Source organism: Homo sapiens, chromosome 15 (assembly GCF_000001405.40).
Source record: "Homo sapiens chromosome 15, GRCh38.p14 Primary Assembly".
NCBI classification, from domain to species: Eukaryota; Metazoa; Chordata; class Mammalia; order Primates; family Hominidae; genus Homo; species Homo sapiens.
Genome location: NC_000015.10, coordinates 26909075 through 26932047, shown reverse-complemented (window position 1 = coordinate 26932047; position 22973 = coordinate 26909075). Strand labels below are relative to the sequence as shown.

The following is a 22973-nucleotide window of genomic DNA, read 5'->3' as shown; positions in this document are numbered from 1 at the left end:
TCGTGAATAGCATTGCCTATATTTTCTTCCAGGGTTTTTATAGTGTTGGGTTTGACATTTAAATCTTTAATCCATCTTGATTTGATTTTTGTATAAGGTGTAAGGGAGGAGTCCACTCTCAATTTTCTGCATATCCTGCCTGCTACTTTGACTCTTTCATATTTAAGACCCTTCCTGTTTGAGTGGTGATGCTATCCTGTCACTTCCCCAGATGAGGCTTCTCCTTTGTTTCAATATCTTGACAACTGATCGGTGGCCATTTGTGTTTTGTTCTGTTTTCCGTTATACCTCTTTCCATTCAAATCCTACCAGATTCAGCTCAAAGCATGGTCCTCATAATAAATATTCCCATCTATGAATTCCAAATGGTTTCAACTGCACAAAGGTATTTAACCCAATTTTCCAAAAGTGCCCATAATGAGCTCCTTGGAAACAGGCCATGGTTCATGCTTCTGTGTTCCTCACTGCACCTAGCTGAGTGCTGAATGCTTAACACACCTGCTATAGACTGAAAGTTTGTGTCTTTCACAAAATTCTTATGTTAAAATCTAATCCTAAATGGGATTGGTTGTAAGAGCCTTCGGGAGGTGATTAGGTCATGATGGGGGAGGCCTCATAAAAGAGGTCTCAGAGAGACCCCTCGCTCCTACCACCATGTGAGGGCACAATGAGAACATGGCCGTCTGTGAACCAGGAAGCAGACCCTGACCAGATATCAAATCTGCCAGCACCTTGGTCTTGAACTTCCCAGCCTGCAGAACTGTGAGAAATACATTCCTGTTATGTATGAGCTACCCAATATTTGGTATTCTGTTATAGCAGACTGAATGAACCCAGATAGAAATTGGCGGCCGGGCGCAGTGGCTTGCACTTGTAATCCCAGCACTTTGGGAGGCCGAGACAGGTGGATCACTTGAGGTCAGGAGTTCAAGGCCAGCCTGGCCAACATGGTGAAACCCCGTCTCTACCAAAAAAAATACAAAAATTAGCGGGGCATTGTGGCAGGTGCCTGTAATCCCAGCTACTCAGGAGGCTGAGGCAGGAGAATTGCTTGAACCTGGGAGGTGGAGGTTGCAGTGAGCCAAGAATGTGCTACTGCACTCCAGCCTGGGCAACAGAGTGAGACTCTGTCTCAAAAAAAAAAAAAAAAAAGAAAAGAAAGAAAGAAAGAAAAAAGAAAAGAAGAGAAAGAAAAAAAAGAAAGAAATTGGCACCAAGACTGGGGTGCTGCTATAACAAATACCTTGAAATGTGGAAGTGGCTTTGGGACCAGGTTATGGGTAGAGGCTGGAAGAGATGTGTGCTAGAAGAAGCCTACATTTTCATGAATGGACTGTTTAAAGCAACTCTGGTGAGGGCCCAGAAAGAAAAGAGGAGAGTTGTAGAGAAAGTCTCCATTTTCTTAGAGAATATATAAGCAATCCAGAGCAGAATGTTGGTTGGAATATGGACAGTAAAGGTCATTCCAATGAGGTCTCAGACAAAAAATGAGGAACATGTTATTGGAAACTGGAAGACAGGTGATCCTTGTTACCAAGTGGCAAGGAGCTTGACTGAACCATGTTCGTGTTATAGTCATAGTTTTCGTGGAAGGTGGAACTAGGAGTAATGGAGTTGAATATCGGCTAAGGAAATATGCTAAACAAAGTGTTGAAGTGACCTGTTTCTCTAATAGCTTATTGTAAAATGGGAGGAGAGGGAAATGACTTAAAGATGGAATTGTTAGTTAAGAAGGGAGCAGGCTGGGCATGGTGGCTCACACCTGTAATCCCAGCACTTTGGGAGGCTGAGGCAGGCAGGTCACCTGAGGAGTTTGTGACCAGCCTGGCCAATATGGTGAAACCCCGTCTTTACTAAAAATACAAAAATTAGCCAGGCGTAGTGGCGGGCACCTGTAATCCCAGCTACTCGGGAGGCTGAAGCAGGAGAATCGCTTGAACCCGGGAGGTGGAGGTTGCAGTGATCGTGCCATTGCACTCCATCCTGAGTGACAAGAGTGAAACTCCATCTCAAAAAACAAAAAACAAAAAAAAAAAAAAAAGAAGAAGAAGAAGAAGAAGAAGAAAGAAGCAGAATTTAAAGATTTGGGAAATGTTCAACCTATCTATTTTGAAAGGAATGAGAAAGCCTGTTTGGGAGAGAATACCGGGATGGGTGTGGCCAAAGGACCATTTAAGAAAGACATTCATTAGTCAGCCACCCCAACAGAAGCCAAGAGCTGCTGTGCAAGACAATGGGAGAATGCAAAGGAGGGATGCTGGTACCTGCAGGACGGAGAGGCGCCCTGCCCTGCCCTGATGTGCACTGCCTTACCTCTTGGGCTCTGCTCCCTGCTCTCCAGCACCACACTCCTCAGCCACCCCAGCAGGGGTTCTGGGGGGCCCTGGTGTGGTGAGGGCTGCGCTCAACAGAGCAGAGGGGGCACAATGGCCTCCACCTAGATTTCAAAGCACTGGGCTTCCAAGCACAGCCATTAGGACCCCAGTCCCAGAGAGCTGTGGGGCACAGGCATAAGCTGCTACAGGGGCAGGGGATCCCCAAAGTCATGCGGCCCAATCCCTGCCTGGCAAAACTGCTGGGACACAGCTGCTGCCCCAGTGTGACTGGAAGATATGGAACTCTTTCCCCATGGGTCTGCAGGGCAAAGCGTGGGCCAAGGAGGGCTAATCTGAAGCTTTAAGGTCTGATGGAACTTGCCCCGCTCGGTTCTGGACTTTCTCTGCACCTCTCACTCCCTTCTTCCTTCTCACTTCTTCCTTTTGGAATGGGAATGTCTATCCTGTGCCTGCCCCCATTGTATTTTGGAAGCACACAACTTGTCTGGTCACAGTTTCACAGCTTGAAAAGAATTCTGCCCAAAGATAAATCATACCTTGGGTCTCACCCATATCTGATTTAGAGGATATTCAGCTAAGACTTTGGGCTTTAGACTTTTGGACTGAAACCATGTGAGAAGAGCATGAATGCTGGGTGTCCAGGGGAAGAATGTGATAGACTAAATAACTGTGTCCCCCCCAAAATTCATATGTTGAAATCCTCAGCCCCAAGATGATGGCATTAGCAGGTGGGGCGTTGGGAGGTGATTATGTTATGAGGATGGAGCCCTCATGAATGGGATTAATGCCCTTATAAAAGGTGCCCCTGGGAATTCACTCACCCCTTCCATCGTGTGAGGGCACAGTGAGATGATGCTGTCTTAACCAGAAAGCAGGCCCTCACCAGACACTGAAACTGTTGGTAACTTGATCCAAAACTTTCCAGCCTCCAGAACTGTGAGAAATAAGTTTCTGGTGTTTTTAAGTCCCTCAGTTTGTGGTATTCTGTTATAACAGCCAAACCAGACTAAAGCAACACTCAGAGTATCTCTTAGATGGTAATTGTTTTAGTCTGCTTGGGTGCCTTCTCATTGTCCTCACATGGCAGAAGGGACGGGAGAGCTCTCTGGGACCTCTTTTATAGGAGCACTAATCCCACGCAGGAGGACCCCCCACCCTCACGTCCTAATCACCTCGTAAGGGCCCCACTTCTTAATACACTGGGGATTGGGTTTCAACACATGATTTGGGGAGGAAACAAACATTCAGATTCCAGTGACAACCAAGGGTAACTAACGCATCAACGTGATTGTTGAAACAATCTAAATTCAGACACCGCACAGTTAAAACTTCAGTATGTTTCTACAACTGTCGAGACTGTAACATGTTCACACGAGGCACTCAGAAACCTGTGTTCTAGATCATCCACGCTCATCCTGAGTCACTAGAAGCTGGGGATGATGAATGCAACAGCAGGCATAATTCATGTGTCTGAATGGAATAGTAGCTCACTCCGGTGAAATTCACCCCTCATTTCCTGAAATTCTCTCTACTGGATGACTACCAAAGAAGCTTCCAGTTCTAATTTAGTACATATTTTCGTGAATCCAGATGTCATCTCATGGCTTAATATTTAATGAATCACTCCACAAATAAAATGAATGACATAATCTAAATATATTTTTTTCCTAAATAGTCTTGTTGTGTTTAAGTATTTGCTTCCGAATGGACACCATGCCATTATTTTTAAGGAATTTCCTTATGGACCGAGAAACATCCTTTTGTAAGCTGAGACTAATTTCAAGATTTGATGGAATTCTTAAGAGTAGAGATACCAATAACAGAAATGTCTGTTAATTCAGTTCTGCATTAGAGAAACTAGAGCATGTGGCTCATTAGAATAATGACACATATTGCATTCCTTTGTCTCCTAATAGCAGAGAACTGTTGAATTGAGTAATTTGAAACTCATTATACTATCACATTTAGCCTCTGCATGCTCAGATGCCAATGGTATAAGTGAACAAGTTGGCCAAGCATCTATTTTTAGTAAATCTAAAAGATGAAAGACAAGTAAGAAAAAAACTTTGTTGAATAGCAATTCTTCTCTTAGAATTATCATGTGCTGAGCTGAAATCATATAACTGAGGAAAGGTGAAGTGTGTACAGTTTTCTAGCTCTTGGTCAACAGTTTACACACAATACATGACATATGAATAAAATCATTCTTATTGTTTTTCATAGTAATAATATTAACAGTAAATATAAATGAATGATCAACCTCTGAAGCAAATCATATCAATCTCAATAGCAGGCAGATATGCCGGGCGCAGTGGTGCACACATGTAATCCCAGCACTTTGAGAGGCCGAGGTGGGTGGATCACGAGGTCAGGAGTTCAAGACCAGGCTGCCCAACATAGTGAAACCCCAACTCTACTAAAAATACAAAAAAAAAAAAAAATTAGCTGGACATGGTGGCGGGCACCTGTAATCCCAGCTAGTTGGGAGGCTGAGGCAGGAGAATCCCTTGAACCCGGGAGGGGGAGGTTGCAGCGAGCAGAGATTGTGCCATTTCACTCCAGCCAGGGTGAGAGTGTGAGACTCTGTCTCAAAAAAGAAAAAAAAAATAGCAGGCAGATAAAAATAAATTTGACATAAGAGTTCAAAATTCCTACTGAGTTCAAGGAGCACTTCTATTGGTTTTACTTCTTATATATAATATGAATCTTATTTTATTTGACTGAATATAGAAAGTGAAGAGCTTTCACTGAATGAGTATTTTAGCTTTGAGTGTGATAAATGATTTAACTGCAGTTGGTTCATTGTTAAAGATGAAAATTTAGGAAATAATCAGGACATCACGTAGTTTTCTTTACCAAAACTTACTTTTGTGCTACCTGCCCTGCTCACCAGTAGCATTACATCTGGGTATCACGTTGACTTGAACTTAACCAATGATCAAAAAAACAATCATCTTTGACTTAGAGTGTTTTATTTTTGATCACATCAAAAGCACAATTTTCATATACAGAGTGGCATAATTTCAAGTTGTACAACTCCACTTCCTCTGAGGATATAAACAAGTAATTTTCTTTCAAAGACATCAATCAGTGATTCCCAAATGAAATGCCTCAGGGATCTTCAGAGGGTCCTTTGTTCTAAGTAATGATGTCCCCAACCACCCCATGGAAGCAAATGATTTAAATAAATCCCAGAGATAGTCCCTTTCCATTATACTGGCCTCCTCAAATAAATGTATATCTTAATCTCTGTATATATCTAAAGATCATAGTTTGAAAAAGTTGAATTATTTCCATCTAACCTAACTTTTGGCTCATCACTTATAATTCCTCTTCTAATTCCAAAAATCTCTTTGGAATGATGGAAGTAATATAAAATGAAATTCTTGAAATCAAAACATTTTCTGCATCCAGGAATGGCAGAATGCCTGCTATGAGGTAACATCCATTATCTCTGGATGTCAGATGAAAAACTACTCCCTGAAAGCCCCGGAGAGACTCAAAGACAAGCAGAAATGGACAGGAGTTGCCATTTAGAGGAAAGAATGGCTTTTCACTTAAGAAGCTGTGGGTCAGCGCTGCAAGGCAGCTGATGCTCAGATAGGACCCCTCCATCTCCCTTGCTTGAAGAACCTAAAGAAGAGCCTGGAACTATTAAAGCAGCAGCTGGAGAGTGAGGTGCAAAATCCTAGAAGGAAAAGAACCACAAGAGAGGCCCACAGTGATGTATACAGATGTACATCATCTCTCCCCAGATCTCTAACTCGCCCCTCAATTATGCATATGCATGCGGGGAGCATAAGCCTATACCAGCCCAACTCCAGCGCGAGAACCACCTGTGTTTCAGGGCTTGCCTGCCACAAGGAAGACAGAACTGGGAGTTCACACTCAGCCAAGTTAACTGGCTTAAAAACAAATAAATAAAAATGAACACTTTAAATTTAACAGAATCCAGAGCCTGTACAATATAACCATAAAATATCCAGGAGACAATTCAAAATTATTATACGTAAAAGAAACAAAAAAAAAGGACCTGTGCTCAAGAGAAAACGCAATCAGTGCAGACTAATCCCAATAGGATTCAGATGATGGATTTAGCATCTAAGAATTTCAAAGTAGCTATTATAAATATGCTTAAGAATACAAAAGAGAATATGTAATGCTTTATAATAAAAAATTGCTGTAATAAAAAACTAACAGTAAATCCTAGTAGAGAAATTGAAACTTTAAAAGAATCCAATACAAATGCTAAACTTGATACATATTGTATACTGAATAATGAATTTATTGTTTAGGCTTAAGAACAGATTGGAAATGACTGAAGAAATAATCAGTGAACTTAAGGCACTAAATATAAATTATCCAATATAAAAAATATAGAGGCAAGACAATGGTTAAAAACATGAGCACACCCCTAGTGATCCATGGGATTATACCAAAAGGTGTAGTACATGTAATTAGAACCTCAGATAAAAAAGAGGAAGAAGATGAGACAGAAAAAAAAAATTAGAAGAAATAATGGTCAAAATGCCTCAAATTTGGTGAAAGACAAATTTAGATTCAAGAGGCTCAGAAAACCACAAGAAGTATAAATTAAAATGAAAACAAATCTAGGGGGATTGCCACTTTCAGAAAGATGAAAATGCATTTTCCTCTATTCCTCCCACTAAAAATAAATATCATATATTTATATTTATAAATAAAAGTGCATATTATACATAAAATAAATGTAGGAAAAATCTGAATGGTAGAAAGAAGCAGGCAGATAGGTCTTGGAACCGAAGGGATGGCCTAGTGGTGACTGTCTGGTTTTCTTCCTGTCTTACACATCCCAGGTTTGGAGCTAAAGAAGCTGGCAACTTGGAAACACCAACGGGCACAAACAGACAAAAACTGATGCCTGTGCGATCTAGCCACAGGACCAGAAAGGGTGCAACCTAGTAGGACAAGAAACCTTTTAGACACTGGCCACTGTACTCCAACCAAGCATCCCCCCAAAAAACGTGGCCCTGCCCTATTCCAGGCTAGCAAATGCTGAACAGACAGCTAAGACTTCTGCCCTCACCAGGTGCCCAACCCACTGATGGAGTGACACCAGAGAAGGCCACAGACTAAGGGGGCCAGGACGTTGATTCCTGCCAAGCTGCAATGAGGCCCGTCCCCTAATGGTAGTAAAAGCCATGTAGGAAGCCTGGAGTTTCATCTAAACCAGCAGGGGCAACTCCCTCTTGCTCTTTATGGGAGTCATGTCAGAGGATTAGTAGATGTTCCAAACTTTCTCCACCACTTGGCAGTAATGAGGCCATGCATATGGTGTCAGTGAAAGCTATGTGGAAAGTGACAAATCACCTCAGCTCCTCCCATCTAGGGAACTATCAGTAGAGGCCTAGCATGGATCTGGAAGTCCTGTACACACTAGCATTAACAAGGAATCCCAGGAACTCTTGTATCAATAGAGGCTAAGCTGGAACCTGATTTCTACCCTGACCCAGTGGTAACGAGGCTGTACCACACCTTCCCCTGACAAAGCAGTGAGAAAAAAAAAAAAAAAAAGCCTTGTATTATAATATACAGAATATCCAGGTTATGATAGAAAATTATTCGTCAAACCAAGAATGAGGGAGATGAAACTCAATAAAAATAAATCAAGCAGAGATGACAGAGATCAGAATTACTGGACAAAGATGTTTTTAAAGCAGCCATTGTAAAATGATGCAACGACCAAGTACAAACATGCTGGTAACAAACTTTTAAAAAACTGAAAGTCTCAACACAGAACAGAAGCTATAGAAAAAAAAATAGAAGTTTTAGAATTAAAAAGTAAAATATCCATGATAAAAAGTTCCTTAGAGGAACAAAATAAGATGGAGGGGAAAAAGGAAAGAATCAGTGAATTGAAGACAGAACAACAGAAATTGTCCAATCTGTAAAACAGAAAGAAAGTAGATGAAAATGACAGTGTAACAAAAGAGCTGAGATCCATGTCTTGGAGGTCAGGGAAGAACAGAGACAGGCTGGACCAGAAAGAGTGTTCAAAGAATTAATTCATAAAACTTCCCAAACTTGACCAAAACCTACAGAAACAAGCAAGCACACCAGAAAGGCTATTGGTGTAGACCAATAAACCTATAAATATCATATGCCTACACCAATAAACATCATAGTCAAACTTCTGAACACTAAAAACAAAGAAAAAAAAAGTCTTTAAGGTAACAAGACAGAAATGAGACCTTACCTATAAAGAAAAAAAATTTGAAAGACAGATTTCTCATCAGAAACCTGGAGGCAAGAAGGAAGTGGCACATTTTTCAAGCGCCAAAAGAACTGTCAAAGCTTAATCCCATATCCAGTGAAATATCTTCAGTAATCAAAGGCAGAAGTCAAGACATTCTTAGATGAATAAAAACTAAGAGAACTTATTGCCAGCACACCTACCCTGAAATAATGGCTAGAGAAAGTTTGCTTAACAGAAAGATAACCATAAAAGAATGAATCTTGGAACACTGAGAAGGAAAAAAGAACACAGTAAGTAAAAATATGGATAAATATAATAAAATTTCCTTTGTCTATTGAGTTTTCAAAATTAAGTTTGATGGTTCAAGCAAAAATTGCAACTCTCTCTGATGTGGTTCAAGATGTATGTAGAGGAAATATTTAAGACAACTGTGTTAAGATTAGGGAAAGGTAAAGGGACATAAAGGGAGGTAAGGTTTTCATATTTCACTTGAACTGGCAAAATGAGTATACAGCAGACCGTGATAAATTTTGTATATATAAAGTAATACTGGCCAAGCACAGTGGCTCATGCCTATAATCCCAGAACTTTGGGAAGCTGAGTCTAGAGGATTGCATTAGGCAAAGAGTTTGAGGCTGCAGTGTGCTATGATCACCCCATTGCACTCCAGCCTGGGCAACAAAGCAAGACCTTGTCTCTTTAATTAATTAGTTAATTAAGTAAGTAACACCTAGAAGAACCACTGAAAAAGCTATACAGCAATGTACACATGATAACATTATAAATAAATCAAAATGGAATAGTAAAAAATGTCCACAGTAAGACAGACAAAAGAAAACAAAGAAATAAAAACACAGAAAAAGCAGAAAGCCAAAGAAATGGCAGACTTAAGCCTTAACATTTCATTCATTACATTAAATATAAAGAGTGTAAATATATCAATTAAAAGATAAATATTGGGAAAGTAAATTTAAAAATCTGAGCTATGCTATTTATAAGAAACTCACTTTTTATCTAATGATATATAGAGGCTGAAAGTAAAAACATGAAAAAATATTTATCATTCAAATATTAATCAAAAGAAAGCAAGACTGGCCACATTGATATCAAGTTATGTGGACTTCAAAGCAGAGAAAAATTTCCAGAGACAGAGAGAAATATTAAATAGTGAAGACAAACAATTATATATGTGTATGCACCAAATAATACAGCTAAAAAATATGTGTAACAAAAATTGATTTACTTGAAAGTGGAAATAGACAAATAGACAATTATAGCTGAAGATTTCAGTGCCCCTTTATTAACAACTGATCCACAACAATGAGACAGAAAATCATCAAGGATAGAGGTGAAGTCAGCACCATCATAATCAAGATAATATAATCAAAATTTGTAGACAATCCACCCAGCAACCACAAAATGCACATACTTTTCAGATGTTCACAGAATAAATATCAAGTAGGCCATATTGTGCATAAAACAATGCTCACAAATTTAAAAGAATTGTAATTATACAGAGGGCATTCTCTGGATATGGTGGAATTAAACTAGAAGTCAATGACAAAAAGATAACAGAAAAATCTACAAACAGTTGGAAACTAAATAACATATATCTAAATAATACGTGGGTCAAAGGGAAAGTCTTAAGGGAAATTTAGAAATACATTTAATGGAATGAAAGGAAAATACAATGACTAAAAATTTGAGCAAAACAGCTAAGGCAGTGCTATAGAAACATTTATAGCATTAAATGAGCACACTAGAAGGGAAAAAAGTCTCAAATCAATAACCTAAGTTCCCACCTTGAGAATCTACAAAAAAGAAATGCAAACTAAATGCAAAGTAAGCAAAAGAAAGAAAATAAAAAGATGAAAGCAGAAATCAGTGAAATAAAAAATAGAAAAGCAATAGAGAAATCAATGAAACAAAGAGCTACAAATAATAAGATCAATAAAATTGAAAAACCTCTATCAATCTTGCTGAAAGAGTAACACAAATTACCAACGTCAGAAATAAGAGATATCACTACAGACACTGCAGACATCAAGACAGTAATATAACAACTATGAACAACTCTACACAAATTTAATATAACTTAGATAAAATAAACCAATTTCTCAAAAAGCGCAATTTACCCAAACTCACCTAATAAGAAGTACATAATTCAAATAGTCTTAAATACTAAGAAAATTTAAATCATAAATATCTCCCTAAACAGTTACCTTCAAGCCCTGGTGGTTTCAGTGAAGAATTGTAACAAACATCTTAAATAATCAACACCTATTCTATACAGTATTTTCTAGAAAATAAAAAAGGTGGGAATACTTCCCACTTTATGAAGCCAGGATTACCCTGGCACCAAAACAAAAGATATTATAAAAAATGAATATATATGCAAAAACTCATTTACAAAATATTATCAAATTGAATTCAACAATATATAAAAATAATTATATGTGATAACCAAACAGAGTTTATTCCAGGGCTGCAAGGCAGGAATGTAACCCACCATTTTAACTGGCTAAAGAAAACTCACATGATTATATCAACTAATGCAGAAAACGCAGAAAGACAGCTTCTCTGAGGGCTGTCGGAGGAACCGATTTCAGTCTTGCTTGTCTCTGAGTGCTAGTGGGATCCAGCAGACCCTAGATGCCTAGGAGCTGCTTAGAATAAAGAAAGTGAGTTTGACTAGCACCAAGGTTGGAGAGGTCCCCAGAATCTCTGGCAAAGGTGGACTGGTGAAGGTCTTTCCCTGTACAATGCCAGTTTATGAAGATTGGGAGAGGTGAATGTTTTATTTAATGTGCACACCAAATACAGAATATAAAGAAATGAGGAACAGGGATATATGTTCCATAAAATGAAAGAAGACAAATCTTCAGAAACTGAGCCTAATGAAATGGAGTTATATAATTTATCTGACAGAGAATTCAAAATAACCATCATAGAGATACTTACTGAAAACAATATATGAACAAAGTGAATTTTCAATAAAAAGACAGAAAATATTTTTAAATTACCAGAAAGAAATCACGGAGTTAAAGAATACAATAACAGAACTGAAAAATTCCTCAGAGGGATTCAACAGCAGACTAGATCAAGTAGAAGGAAAGATCAATGAATTCAAAAATAGATCACTGGAAATTATTCAGTCAGAGGAGCAAGAAGAAGAATGAAGAAGAGAAAAGAAAGCTTAAGAGACTTATGGGACACCATCAAGTGACTAATATGTATACTGAGTTTCAAAAGGAGAAGAGAGAGAGAAAGAACAACAACAACAACAACAACAACAAAAGCTTATTTAAAGAAATAATGGCTGAAAATTTCCAAACCTGGGAAAGGAAATGGAGAAACAGATCTAGGAAGTACAGAGGATTCCAAATAAGGCAAACCCAGAATCCACACCAAGACACATTAAATAAATTGTCAAAAGTCAAAGAAAGAATTTTCAAAGCTGCCAGAGAGAAGCCAGTTGTTATAAATAGTCATGTCATAAGATTATGAATGGATTTTTTTTTATCAGAAATCTTGCAGGACAGCAGGGAATGATAAAACACATTCAAAGTGCTGAAAAAAAAGTATACCTGGCAGAACTCTCCTTCAAAAATGAAGGCAAGACAAAAACTTTTCCAGAAAAACAAAAGCAGAAAGTATACAAAACCACTAGACCTGACTTGCAAGAAATACTAAAGAGAGTTTTTCAAGTTGAAAGAATGCTAAATAGCAACACAATAGCATAAGAAAGTATAAAACTTGTTGGGAAAGGTATTTACACAGGTATTTGTCTGTATTTACACAGACAAATAAAGAATACTGTATTATTGTAACAGTGATGAATAAGTCACTTTTAATTCTCGTATAAAAGTCAAAAGGCAAAAGTATTAGAAATAATTACAACTAAAAATGTTAATGATGCACAATATAAATGGATGTAAATAAGTGTGTGGGAAATAGTAGTAAAGTGTAGTCTTTATATGTAATTGATGTTAAGATATTATCATAAGATAGTGTTATACGTTTAAGATATTTTATATAAGCTACACCGTAACCACGAAGATAATAACTATAGAAGTTACAGAAAAGAAGAGAAAGGAATCAAAGCATATCAATACAAAAAAAATAATGAAGCACAAAGACAGCAGGAGAGTTAAAGAGGAGCAATAGATAAAAGACAAATAGAAACAATTACCAAAATGCCAATAGTGAATCCTTCCCAATCAGTATTTACTTTAAATGTAAATGAATTAAACTCCTCAATCAAAAGACACAAGAGAGTTTGAATGGATAAGAAAACAAGATCCGACTCTTTTTTTGTGTGTGTTTTGTTTCTTGAGACAGGGTGTTACACTATTGCCTAGGCTGGAGTGCAGTGGGGTAAATATGGCTCACCTCAGCCTCTGCCTCCTAGGTTCAGGTGATCCTTCTGCCTCATCCTCCCAAATAGCTGTGACTACAGGCATGCACCACCATGTCTAGCTAATTTAAAACTTTGTTTTTTGTAGAGATGGTGTTTTCCCACATTGCCCAGGCTGGTCTTGAACTCCTGGGCTCAAGCAATCCACTCATCTCAGCCTCCCAAAGTACTGGGATTACACAACTCTATTTTATCTACAAGAAACTCACAGTAGATTTAAGGACACACATAGACTGAAAATGAAGGGATGGAAAAGGGTATCTCATGATAAAGGGCCATGAAAAGAGAGCAGGGATGGCTATATTTACATAAGACAAAATAAATTTAAGTTAAAAACTGTCACAAGAGATAAAGAAGAACAATATGTAATGATAAAAAGATTGATTCACCAGAGAGATATAACAATTATAAGTAAATATGCACCCAACGTAAGAACAACTGAAAATATAATGCAAACATTGACAGAACTGAAGGGAGAAACAGCAGTGCAATAATAGTAGTAGATTTCAATACCTCTCTCTCAGTTATGGATAAAACAACCAGACAGAACATCAACAAAGAGGTACAGTGGGCTGGAACAACACCAGACATACATAAAACATTTCACCTGCAGCAGAATACACATTTTTCTAAAGCACATACAGAACATTCACATTTTATGTCACAAAACAAATGTAATCAATTTAAGAAGACAGAAATTTCCTACCACATGGAATGAAACCAGAAATCCACAGTAGAAGAAAAACTAGAAAATTCATACATATGTGGAAATTACACAACACACATTTGTACAACCAATGGGCCAAAGAAGAAATCAAAGGGGAACTTAGAAGATACCTTGAAACAGATAAAAATGAAAATGCAGCATATCAAAACTTATTGGCATCTAAGAAAAGCAGCACCAAGAGGAAAATTTATAAACAACCTAACTCCTTCGGGAATTAGAAAAAGAAGCACAAACTAGTCTAAATGTAGTAGAGGGAGGAAAATAATAAATATTAGAGCAGAAATAAACAAAGTAGGGAATCTAAAAACAATAAACAGAATCAGAGAATCAGCAAAGAGTTTGTCCCTTGAAAAAAAATAAAACTGACAAACTTTTATGTAGATTCAGAAAAAAAGAAAAGTCAAATAAATTAGAAATAAAAGGAGACATTGCAACTGATGCCACAGAAATAAAAAGACTTGTAAAAGACAACAATGAACAATTATATGCCAATAAAATGAATAATCTAGAAGAAATTGGTAAATTCCTAGATACACACAACCTACTAAGACTGAATCACAAAGAAATAGGAAGTCTAAATAGATCAATAACTAGTAAGGAAGTTGAATCTATAATCAAAAACCTCCCAACAAAGAAAAGCCCAGGACCAGATAGTTCACTAGTGAATTCTACCAAACATTTAAGGAAGAATTAATGCCAATCCTTCTCAAACTCTTCAAAAAAAACTAAAGAGGAACAAAGACTCAAACTTATGAGTCCTGCATTACTCTCATATGAAAAGTGGTCAAAAATATTCCAAGAAAAGAAAACAAGAGGCCAATGTCCTTGATGAATATAGATGCCAAACTCCTCAATAAAGTATCAACAAACTGAATTCAGCAACACATTAAGAGATTCGTATCCAAGCAGAATTTATCTCTGGGATGCAAAGAAGGTCCAACACATGAAAATCAATTGATGTAATACATCACATTAAGAGAATGAAAAACAAAAACCATTTGATCATCTCAGTAGATGCAGAAAAAGTGTTTGACAAAATTCCACACCCTTTCATGATAAAAATTCTCGATACACAAGGAATAGAAGAAAATTACCTCAATATGATAAATGCCACATATGAAAATCCCACAGTGAATTGCATAGTCAATGGTGAAAAACTGACAACTTTTTCTCTAGCATCAGGGACAAAGCAAAGATACCCACCCACCATTACCACCTCTATTCAGTACAATACTTTAGGACCTAGCCAGAACGATTCAACAAGAAAAGGAAATAAAAGGCATCCAAATCATAAAGGAAGAAGTGAAACTCTCCCTATCTATAGATGACATCATCTTACATACAGAAAACCCAAAAAACTCCACCAAAAGACTTTTAGAACTAATCAATAAATTCATTAAAGTTTCACAATACAAAATCAACATCAAAAATCAGTTCCATTTCTATATATTAACAATGAACTATCTGAAAAAGAAATTAGAAAAACAATCCCACTTATTATAGCATCAAAAAGAACAAAATACTTATTAATAAACTTAACCAAGGAGATGAAAAATCTATACACTGAAAACTACAAAATAGTGATGAAATAAATTAAAGAAAACACAAACAAATGGAAAGATGCCACTCGTTCATGGATGAAAAACTTAATATTATTAAAATGTCCACACTACCCAAGTGATCTTTAGATTCAATACAATGCCCATCAAAATTCCAGCAGCAGTTTTTATAGAAATAGAAAAAACAATGTTTAAAATCATATGAAATAACAAAAAAACCCAAATATCCAAAACAATCTTGGGAAAAAAGAGAGCTGGAGGCATTACATGTCCTGACTCCAAAATATGTTACAAAGCCACAGCAATTAAAACAGTATGGCACAGGCATAAAGGCTGACATAGAGAACAATGGAACAAAATAGAAGGTCCAGAAATCAATCTATGCATATACAGTCAACTGATCTTTGACAAGAGTGCCAAGAATACAAAAATGAGGAAAAGATAATCTCTTCAACAAGTGGTGTTTCTTTTTAAAGAGGAAAGGAAAATAACTGAAACAATAAGTGTAAAAAAATTAATACTTGGAGAAATAAATATTTCAGGAATATTTTTAAACATTCTAATTGTCACAGTAAGGAAAATGGATTACATTTTCCAGTAAGACACAGAACTTTTCAACTTGGATATATAATGAAACAGGAAACAGACAAAAAAGGAGTAGAAAGATATCCCAGGCAAGAATTAAAGAAGAAACTGGTGTGGCAATATTAATATTTGACAAAACTTAGTTCTATAGGCATTACATGGTGAAAGAGAGATGATTTATAGTGATGAGACATGCATCCTGTCAAGAAGCTATAAATATAATGAACTTTTATGGTAATGATGATGATGGGCATTTATTGAACACTTTAACTGGTGTTACTCTGCCAGTTTCAAACATATTATAACAGCCCTCATCTATTTTACAAATGAGGAAAGAGGCTCAGAGAGTCTAATTAACTTGCCCACAGTTACTCAGCAGAGGAGTGGGATAGCCAGGATTCAAACCCACACAGTTTTCATGCTTCATCTCAAGGAGAACATTCTGCTTTCAAAGTGAAAACTTCATATAGCATGTGCACAAGTGAAGAGTAGAAAGAAAGATGGAAACTAGATCAGTTTCAAGTCTGCTCCCAATAGCTCACATGTGGGGATGATGCTGAAACAAGTGTAACAAAATTTAATACTTGGAGAAATAAATATTTCAAGAATATTTTTAAACATTCTAATTGTCACAGTAAAGAAAATGGATTACATTTTCCTGTAAGACACAGAACTTTTCAACTGTCTCAACTGTCAATTCCTCTGTCTGGAATGGCTGGAATCCAGGAATTCCTATTAGAATTGTATAAGTGTATACCTATAGTATTGTGATATGAATAATTTGTTTATTTGTTCAAGCAGCACATATTTCCTAAAATGCTGAGTGTTGTGGGTGAGCACTGACTATGAACATGACAGATGAGGCTGTTGCTCTTATGGAACATTCTAGAAGAAGTGAGTCAACACAGCAATGATTACAGCACAATAAAAAATATCACTGGCTGAGTACTGGGCACTGGTCACCTTTGACCAGGTGACCTGTAATCTGAGATGCAAAAACAAAAAAGAACTGCCCGGTTGAGATCTGAGGAGAAACACCCCCAGAGGGGCACATTCCAGATTGTTCAGTGATGTCACTGGCATTGTCATAGTTTATCCTAATCTGTGATGTATGGCAGGTGTTAATGACCCCATTTTGCAGACAAGAAAGCTAGTCTGGGGAGAACAATACACTCTCCACGCTTCTTAAACAGACTGCATCCTATTGTGCTTATGTATATGCAGAACCTAAATTCTTCTGAATAAATGTGGAATTGATCCCCAAAGTATATGTCCAAGGCTCTTACTTGTGAAAATAACTTACAGCTGCCAAATTTCAGAGGGCAAGCGTGCGCATCCATCGGGAAGTCCTCAAGCTGCATGGGGCACTCTGCAGAGATGGTCAAGCTGAAAAATAAAAGATGAAGACCTTTGAACGACTCTCTCACTCTAGCCATTCACTGAGCCACCATCGTGTCCCAGAAAGCCATATTAAGTACTTTTAAAAATTAATGTCTCTTATGAGATTATCTGAACTATCCCCACCAAATTACGTAAGTTTGTGTTGTAGGTGAATATCATTCAGAAATAAGGCTTAAATCAAATCTACTCAGCACTTCGGTGGCTTAGGGTGTGTACCTATACATATATTACTGCTTGTAAAGCAATTTAAGATGCCTTTAAAAGTTATTTATTCTTTGTTTCCTATCCCTTATTGAGCATTATCATAAAGCTTTCCTTGACGGGACTGAAAACATGCATTTTCTAAAATTGCTTATAAGCTCAAAAAATATAAATGTAGAATAAATGCACATATATTCGTAGAATATGGGAAAATACAGAAAAAGTTGAAGTAATACAATTACAAATATCTACTATTTCACTTATAACTTCACGTGGTACATTTAGTGCAGAGTTTTCCTACACGCCCAAATTTTGACCGGAACCTGGCTATAACCATTGTGTAATGGGCCAATATGAAACTGTATAGTAAGTGAACCTGTAATATCATAACAATCTTCTGGTACACCCTAATTATTATTTTTTAATCCAGGCCTAGTCTTCCAAATTATAATATCACCGAGCACTACCACTGTCACTGGTAACTACAATAATGATGGTAACAAGAGCTGGCATGTCTGTGCCAGGCAGCCTGTGAGGGATTCTACCTGCATTGACTCATCTCACCCTAACAGCACGGGGAGATCTGGTGCTATAACCATCTCAGTTTACAAAGAAGAAAAGTGAGGTGCGGATATTAAGGAATTCGGGGCCTAGAATGCAGAGCTGCTCAGTGGTGGAGCCATGACAATAACAATCACCCAGGCTGCCTGGCCCTGGCTGCAGAGGTCCCTGAAAGGCACCACCACAGGCGGCATAGGCAGGGCTCTGTTGTGTAGGAAGCCAGTGCACTCCCAGAGCCGCCACACTGTGGTGCTTTCATTTCTCTACCACCTTTGCCAATTACGGATGATTCTAAATTTTATTAATGAGCCCATCTTCTGTTTGTTAGTTTTTCTTTCCATTATTTAAAATAAATGAAATTACATACAATGAAAGATGAAGATACAAAACGTTCAACTTCAAGTGCATGTTATAATTCTATTTTTAGAGCAAATAATAATTCAAGGTTACAGTAGTGCTATTGTTCATTCCTTGTTATATAAGACTGAATGTCGCTGATTAGCCTAGGGTGAGAATCAAAACATAAACATCCATTTTTGCTTTTACTACTTCCTTCTGTGAAAATAGATTAACCTTTTGCTGTTAAATTGGTCACATAATTCACATGGTAATTGCAGACTGAGGAGTCAATGTATGTATTTTCTGAATGAAACTAAAATACATGTCAGTGGAAGGGAGGTCTGTGTCCATCAAAGATACGAAATCTTCTGTTGCCACAACTTTTGACGGAAGGTTTCCCCAAAGATGGAGTGACTCACAGAGGCTTGTGTGTGTAGATGACCTAGAACACAACACAAAAGTCTCACATTCAGGCAAGGAGAGGATTTTTTTTTTTTTTTTTTTGAGACAGAGTCTTGCTCTGTTGCCCAGGCTGGAGTGCAGTGGCGCAATCTTGCCACACCACAATCTCCACTCCCGGGTTCAAGCAATTCTCCTGCCTCAGCCTCCTGAGTAGCTGGGATTATAGACGCCTGACACCACACCTGGCTAATTTCTGTATTTTTAGTAGAAATCATGGTTTCACCATGTTGGCCAGGCTGGTCTCAAACTCCCGACCTCAGGTGATCTGCCAGCCTCGACTTCCCAAGGTGCTGGGATTACAGGCGTGAGCCACTGCATCTGGCTGGGAGAGGAATTTTTAAATGATTTTCCACACATATTCACAGAATAAGAAGATAATTATAAACATCGACCACTTCACTTATGATTTCACCTTCATTTAGCCCTGAGTTTTTCTACATGTACATATATTTTCTTTTCATTCTTGGTATATAAAAGTCAGTCTTGTTTATACCTAACACTAGAACAGAAGTACTTCCCCCATCACCAAAATCTTTATATAATCATGACATTGAAAGGTTAAATATTTGATTCTAGCATCCATGTGTACGTGTGTGTTTCTGTCTGTATGTGTAATTATCAATTAGCTGTTGCTGGACTTTTATATTATTTTACCTGATAAATAACCTGCAATTGACCTCTTCAATCATAAATTATGAAAAAGGGCTGTTATTAGAGACTATGAAATTGGTAAGGTAAATAAAGAAAAAACTTATTGGAATTAGGAAAATTAGAACTTTTTAAAAAGTCACCTATAAGGATGGCATTCAGCCAACACAAAGGAAAACAGGTTACTTTATATGGTTGTTAGCAAATTTGTCAAGTGATGCAGTACTGGAACAGAGAATCTCAACGGGTCAGATGTGTTCTTGAGGACAAAATCACAATGATCTGAAAATATCTAGAATTTCCTTAAGAAGGAAGACTTTAGTCAGGAAATAGGAAGTATATACAAAGCTGTAAGATTAGATCCATAGCAATAAATGTGAAGATGAGCACACGAGGAAACAGCACTGTGGGAGTTTAGAGAACACTTCTGATCAGGAGAGGCATGCTTTGCGATCGCCTGTGGCCTTGGCTGTAACAGGAACACGCGGGGCTCACACGGGAGCAGTCTGAGGTGGGGTGGAGGGGAGGGCGTTTCAAGTGACCTGACTGTCTTAGCCCAGCTGTGCTACTGAAGACCTCAACCAGCAGCCCTGGCTTTACTCTTTGAGTCTTCTGACAAAGATGCTAACAACACTATAACCCCACACAGTCTATGCCATCGTCAGGGTGGATATGGAGATGGTTGTCTTCTCTCCAGACACTGCCATGTCTGCCAGACCCCGGCAGGCACTCAGTTTCCCACTGGGTCTGGAAGCAGCCTAGAAGTCAGTCTACGGGCTGAATTCCTGACAACTTGGAGAGTCCGAGTTACCCCCAACCCATTGCTCTGTGCTGGCATCCAGCTCCAATCCACCAGGCCATTGCAGGCACCAGACGTGACGTTTCTGTTGCATGCACCTACTCTCAGAGCAGACCCCAGGGAAACCTCATCCCAAAGGCCCCGTGAGGCACTCTGCCAGCTCCTGGTTCATTCCTCCTCCTCTCCTGGCCAATACCGTGTGTTTATAAAAGGGACCAGAGCCGCTCCTTCTGCCATGGTGGGCTTCATTCTAGCTGTTTGGCCCTGAGAACTGCCCACCTTCCGAAAATTACTGCACTGACAATGTTGAAAGATGGCATTCTGACAAGGAATGCATACCAAGGAGCTGGCTTTTAGCATATTGCAGGAGTGTGTGTGTTTGTGTGTGTGTGTGTGTGTGTGTGTGCATGCAGCAAGGGTGGGGGCAGGGAGGGTACACAAACACAGGTGGACAGCATTTAGCTGGATCTAAAAAAAGGCACTTTTAAAGAAAAAATAACTCCAGTAAAAATGTAAAAAAGACAGTTTTTCTACAATTACCATCTCAATAAATGCTATTATTAGAGCCTTGTGACTTCTCCCAATTTTATAGAGCCCCTTAGAATTCTAAACCTCAGGAAAGTATACTTCATCTATGATAGTGTCTCTCCTCTAACACATGAATGTATTATTCAGATAAATCTCTCAATAAGAACTGTTTCAGCCTCAGTCAGGAAATAAATTTAAATTTTCGATCCCTCTAAACATTTCAAAAATGGCCTATGCTTTTATAATACTCAAAAAGTATCTCTCAGTGAAAGAAAGCCTTCTATTCATGGGGCTCTTGAAATGTGGAATGCTTTGATGTGGAACCAGCCGCCTCCACACAGAGCTGAGATCAAGGCCTCTGTGGAGTGGGTGACTGTCATAGCGCAAGAGAGACAGCTAGGTCACCTGCTTGAAACCCTCACTTTTTCGATAAAGAAAATCAAGCCCAAAAGGTTAAGAAACTTGACTGTGGAAAGACTTCACTGAATTACTGGAAGACCCAGGAATCCAGTATTTTTACAAAGGTCCAATTTCTGTTTTACTTCCAATTTCTGTTAAGACATTCAAGCATTCACTTACTGAAGCATAATGTCCCATTTTTGAAGAACATCTTGATTTTAGGATAAGGAAATGGGATTTTTTTTTTTTTTTTGATGGAGTCTCGTTCTGTCACCCAGGCTGGAGTGCAGTGGCATGATCTTGGCTCACTGCAACCTCCACCTCCCAGGTTCAAGCTCTTTTCCTGCCCCAGCCTCCAGAGTAGCTGGGATTACAGGTGTCCGCAATCACGCCCACCTAATTTTTGTATTTTTAGTAGAGACAGGCTTTCACCATGTTGACTAGGCTGGTCTCAAACTCCTGACCTTGTGATCCACCTGCCTCGGCCTCCCAAAGTGCTGGGATTACAGGTGTGAGCCACCACACCCGGTCGGGCATTTTTATAATTTAAGATAATTGCTTCAATTTGGATTTATGTCATCGTAATTGAGGGCTTAGGGTCCTAAACTCAAGAAAGAGCTCTCTGCTTGGTCAGGAGCAGCTGATGGGTGAAGAGTGCTTTATGATGGGTAAAATGGCCAAATTCTAGAGTAGCTTTGCTATTAACTAATTGTGTGACCTTTGTAAAACTGCCTAACCAATCTGGTCCAGTCTTCTTGTGTCAAAAAAAAGAAAAAAAAACATTTATTTCATTCTCTGAAATAAATAATTGATAAGTATAAAAAGGGTAAAAAGGCTTTGGCTATTACCAGTTCAATGACAATGAGGTGATTAAAGAAAGTCTCCAAAATTCTACTAAAATCTTCTTCAAATCGAAGCCTTCCTTATTCTTGTGGAAATCCTGCATCAATGCAGTAGGTGTGACAGTGGCAGGCAAAATAACAGCACTGCAAATATGTCCATGTGCCAATGCACAAAACCCCAAACCTGTGAGTATGCTACCTCACTCAGCAAAAGGGCTTTGCAGATGTGATTCATTTAAGGATCTTGGGATGGAGAGATAATCCTGGATTCTCCATGTGAGCCCAATACAATCACAAAGGTCCTTCTAAGAGGGAGACAAGAGTGTCAGATTCAGAGAAAAACATGTGATGAGGAAGCAGAGGTCGGTGCAAAGTGGCCAAGAGTCTAAGAATACAAGTGTCCTCTAGAAACCGGAAGAGGCAAGAAACAGCCTCTCCCCTAGAGCGTCCAAAAGAAATGCAATCCTGCCAACAGCTTGACTGTAGCCTCCTGGGACCCTTTTGGAATTACAAGACAATAACTTTGTTGTGTTTTAAGCCAAAATTTGTATTTCCTATTGATGCTATGACAAAATGGTGGTCTCCAAAGATGTCCATGTCCCAACTCTTCCTACCTGTCAATATGTTTCCCTTATAGCAAAAAGGACTTTTCAGATGTGGTGAATTTAAAGCTTTAGAGATGGGAGGTTTTCCTGGGTTATCTGGGTGGGACAAATGTCATCACGAGGCCACGTAGAAGAGGAAAATGGGAGTGTCAGAATCAGAGCAGGAAATCTGATGGCGGAAGTGGAAGCAAGAGTGACGCAGGACCATGAACCAAGGAATCTGGCCCCTCCAGAGGCTGGGAGAGGCAAGGACACAGATTGTCCCCTAGAGAAGCCAGAAGAGAGGCCATCCTGCCCACAGCTGCATTTCAGACACACAAGACCCATTC

General features: G+C 38.4%; 1 protein-coding gene across 8 annotated transcripts in view, besides 1 other annotated feature; it reads right to left on the bottom strand.

Annotated features, from left to right (window-relative positions):
- Positions 1-22973, bottom strand: part of GABRA5 (gamma-aminobutyric acid type A receptor subunit alpha5) — an 82490-nt gene that overhangs the window by 17161 nt on the left and 42356 nt on the right. For all 8 annotated transcript variants that reach the window (NM_001165037.2, XM_017022055.2, NM_000810.4 and 5 more), the window contains exon 7: positions 17163-17245. In NM_001165037.2, coding sequence (NP_001158509.1) covers positions 17163-17245 — 83 coding nt within the window. The remainder of the gene's footprint in view (positions 1-17162; positions 17246-22973) is intronic.
- Positions 2409-2957: an enhancer, noted in NCBI's record as "H3K4me1 hESC enhancer chr15:27174238-27174786 (GRCh37/hg19 assembly coordinates)". NCBI's record gives its function as "activates a minimal SCP1, AML or CMV promoter by ChIP-STARR-seq in primed H9 embryonic stem cells {active_cell/tissue: H9 hESC(primed)}" and the evidence as "EXISTENCE:reporter gene assay evidence [ECO:0000049][PMID:30033119]".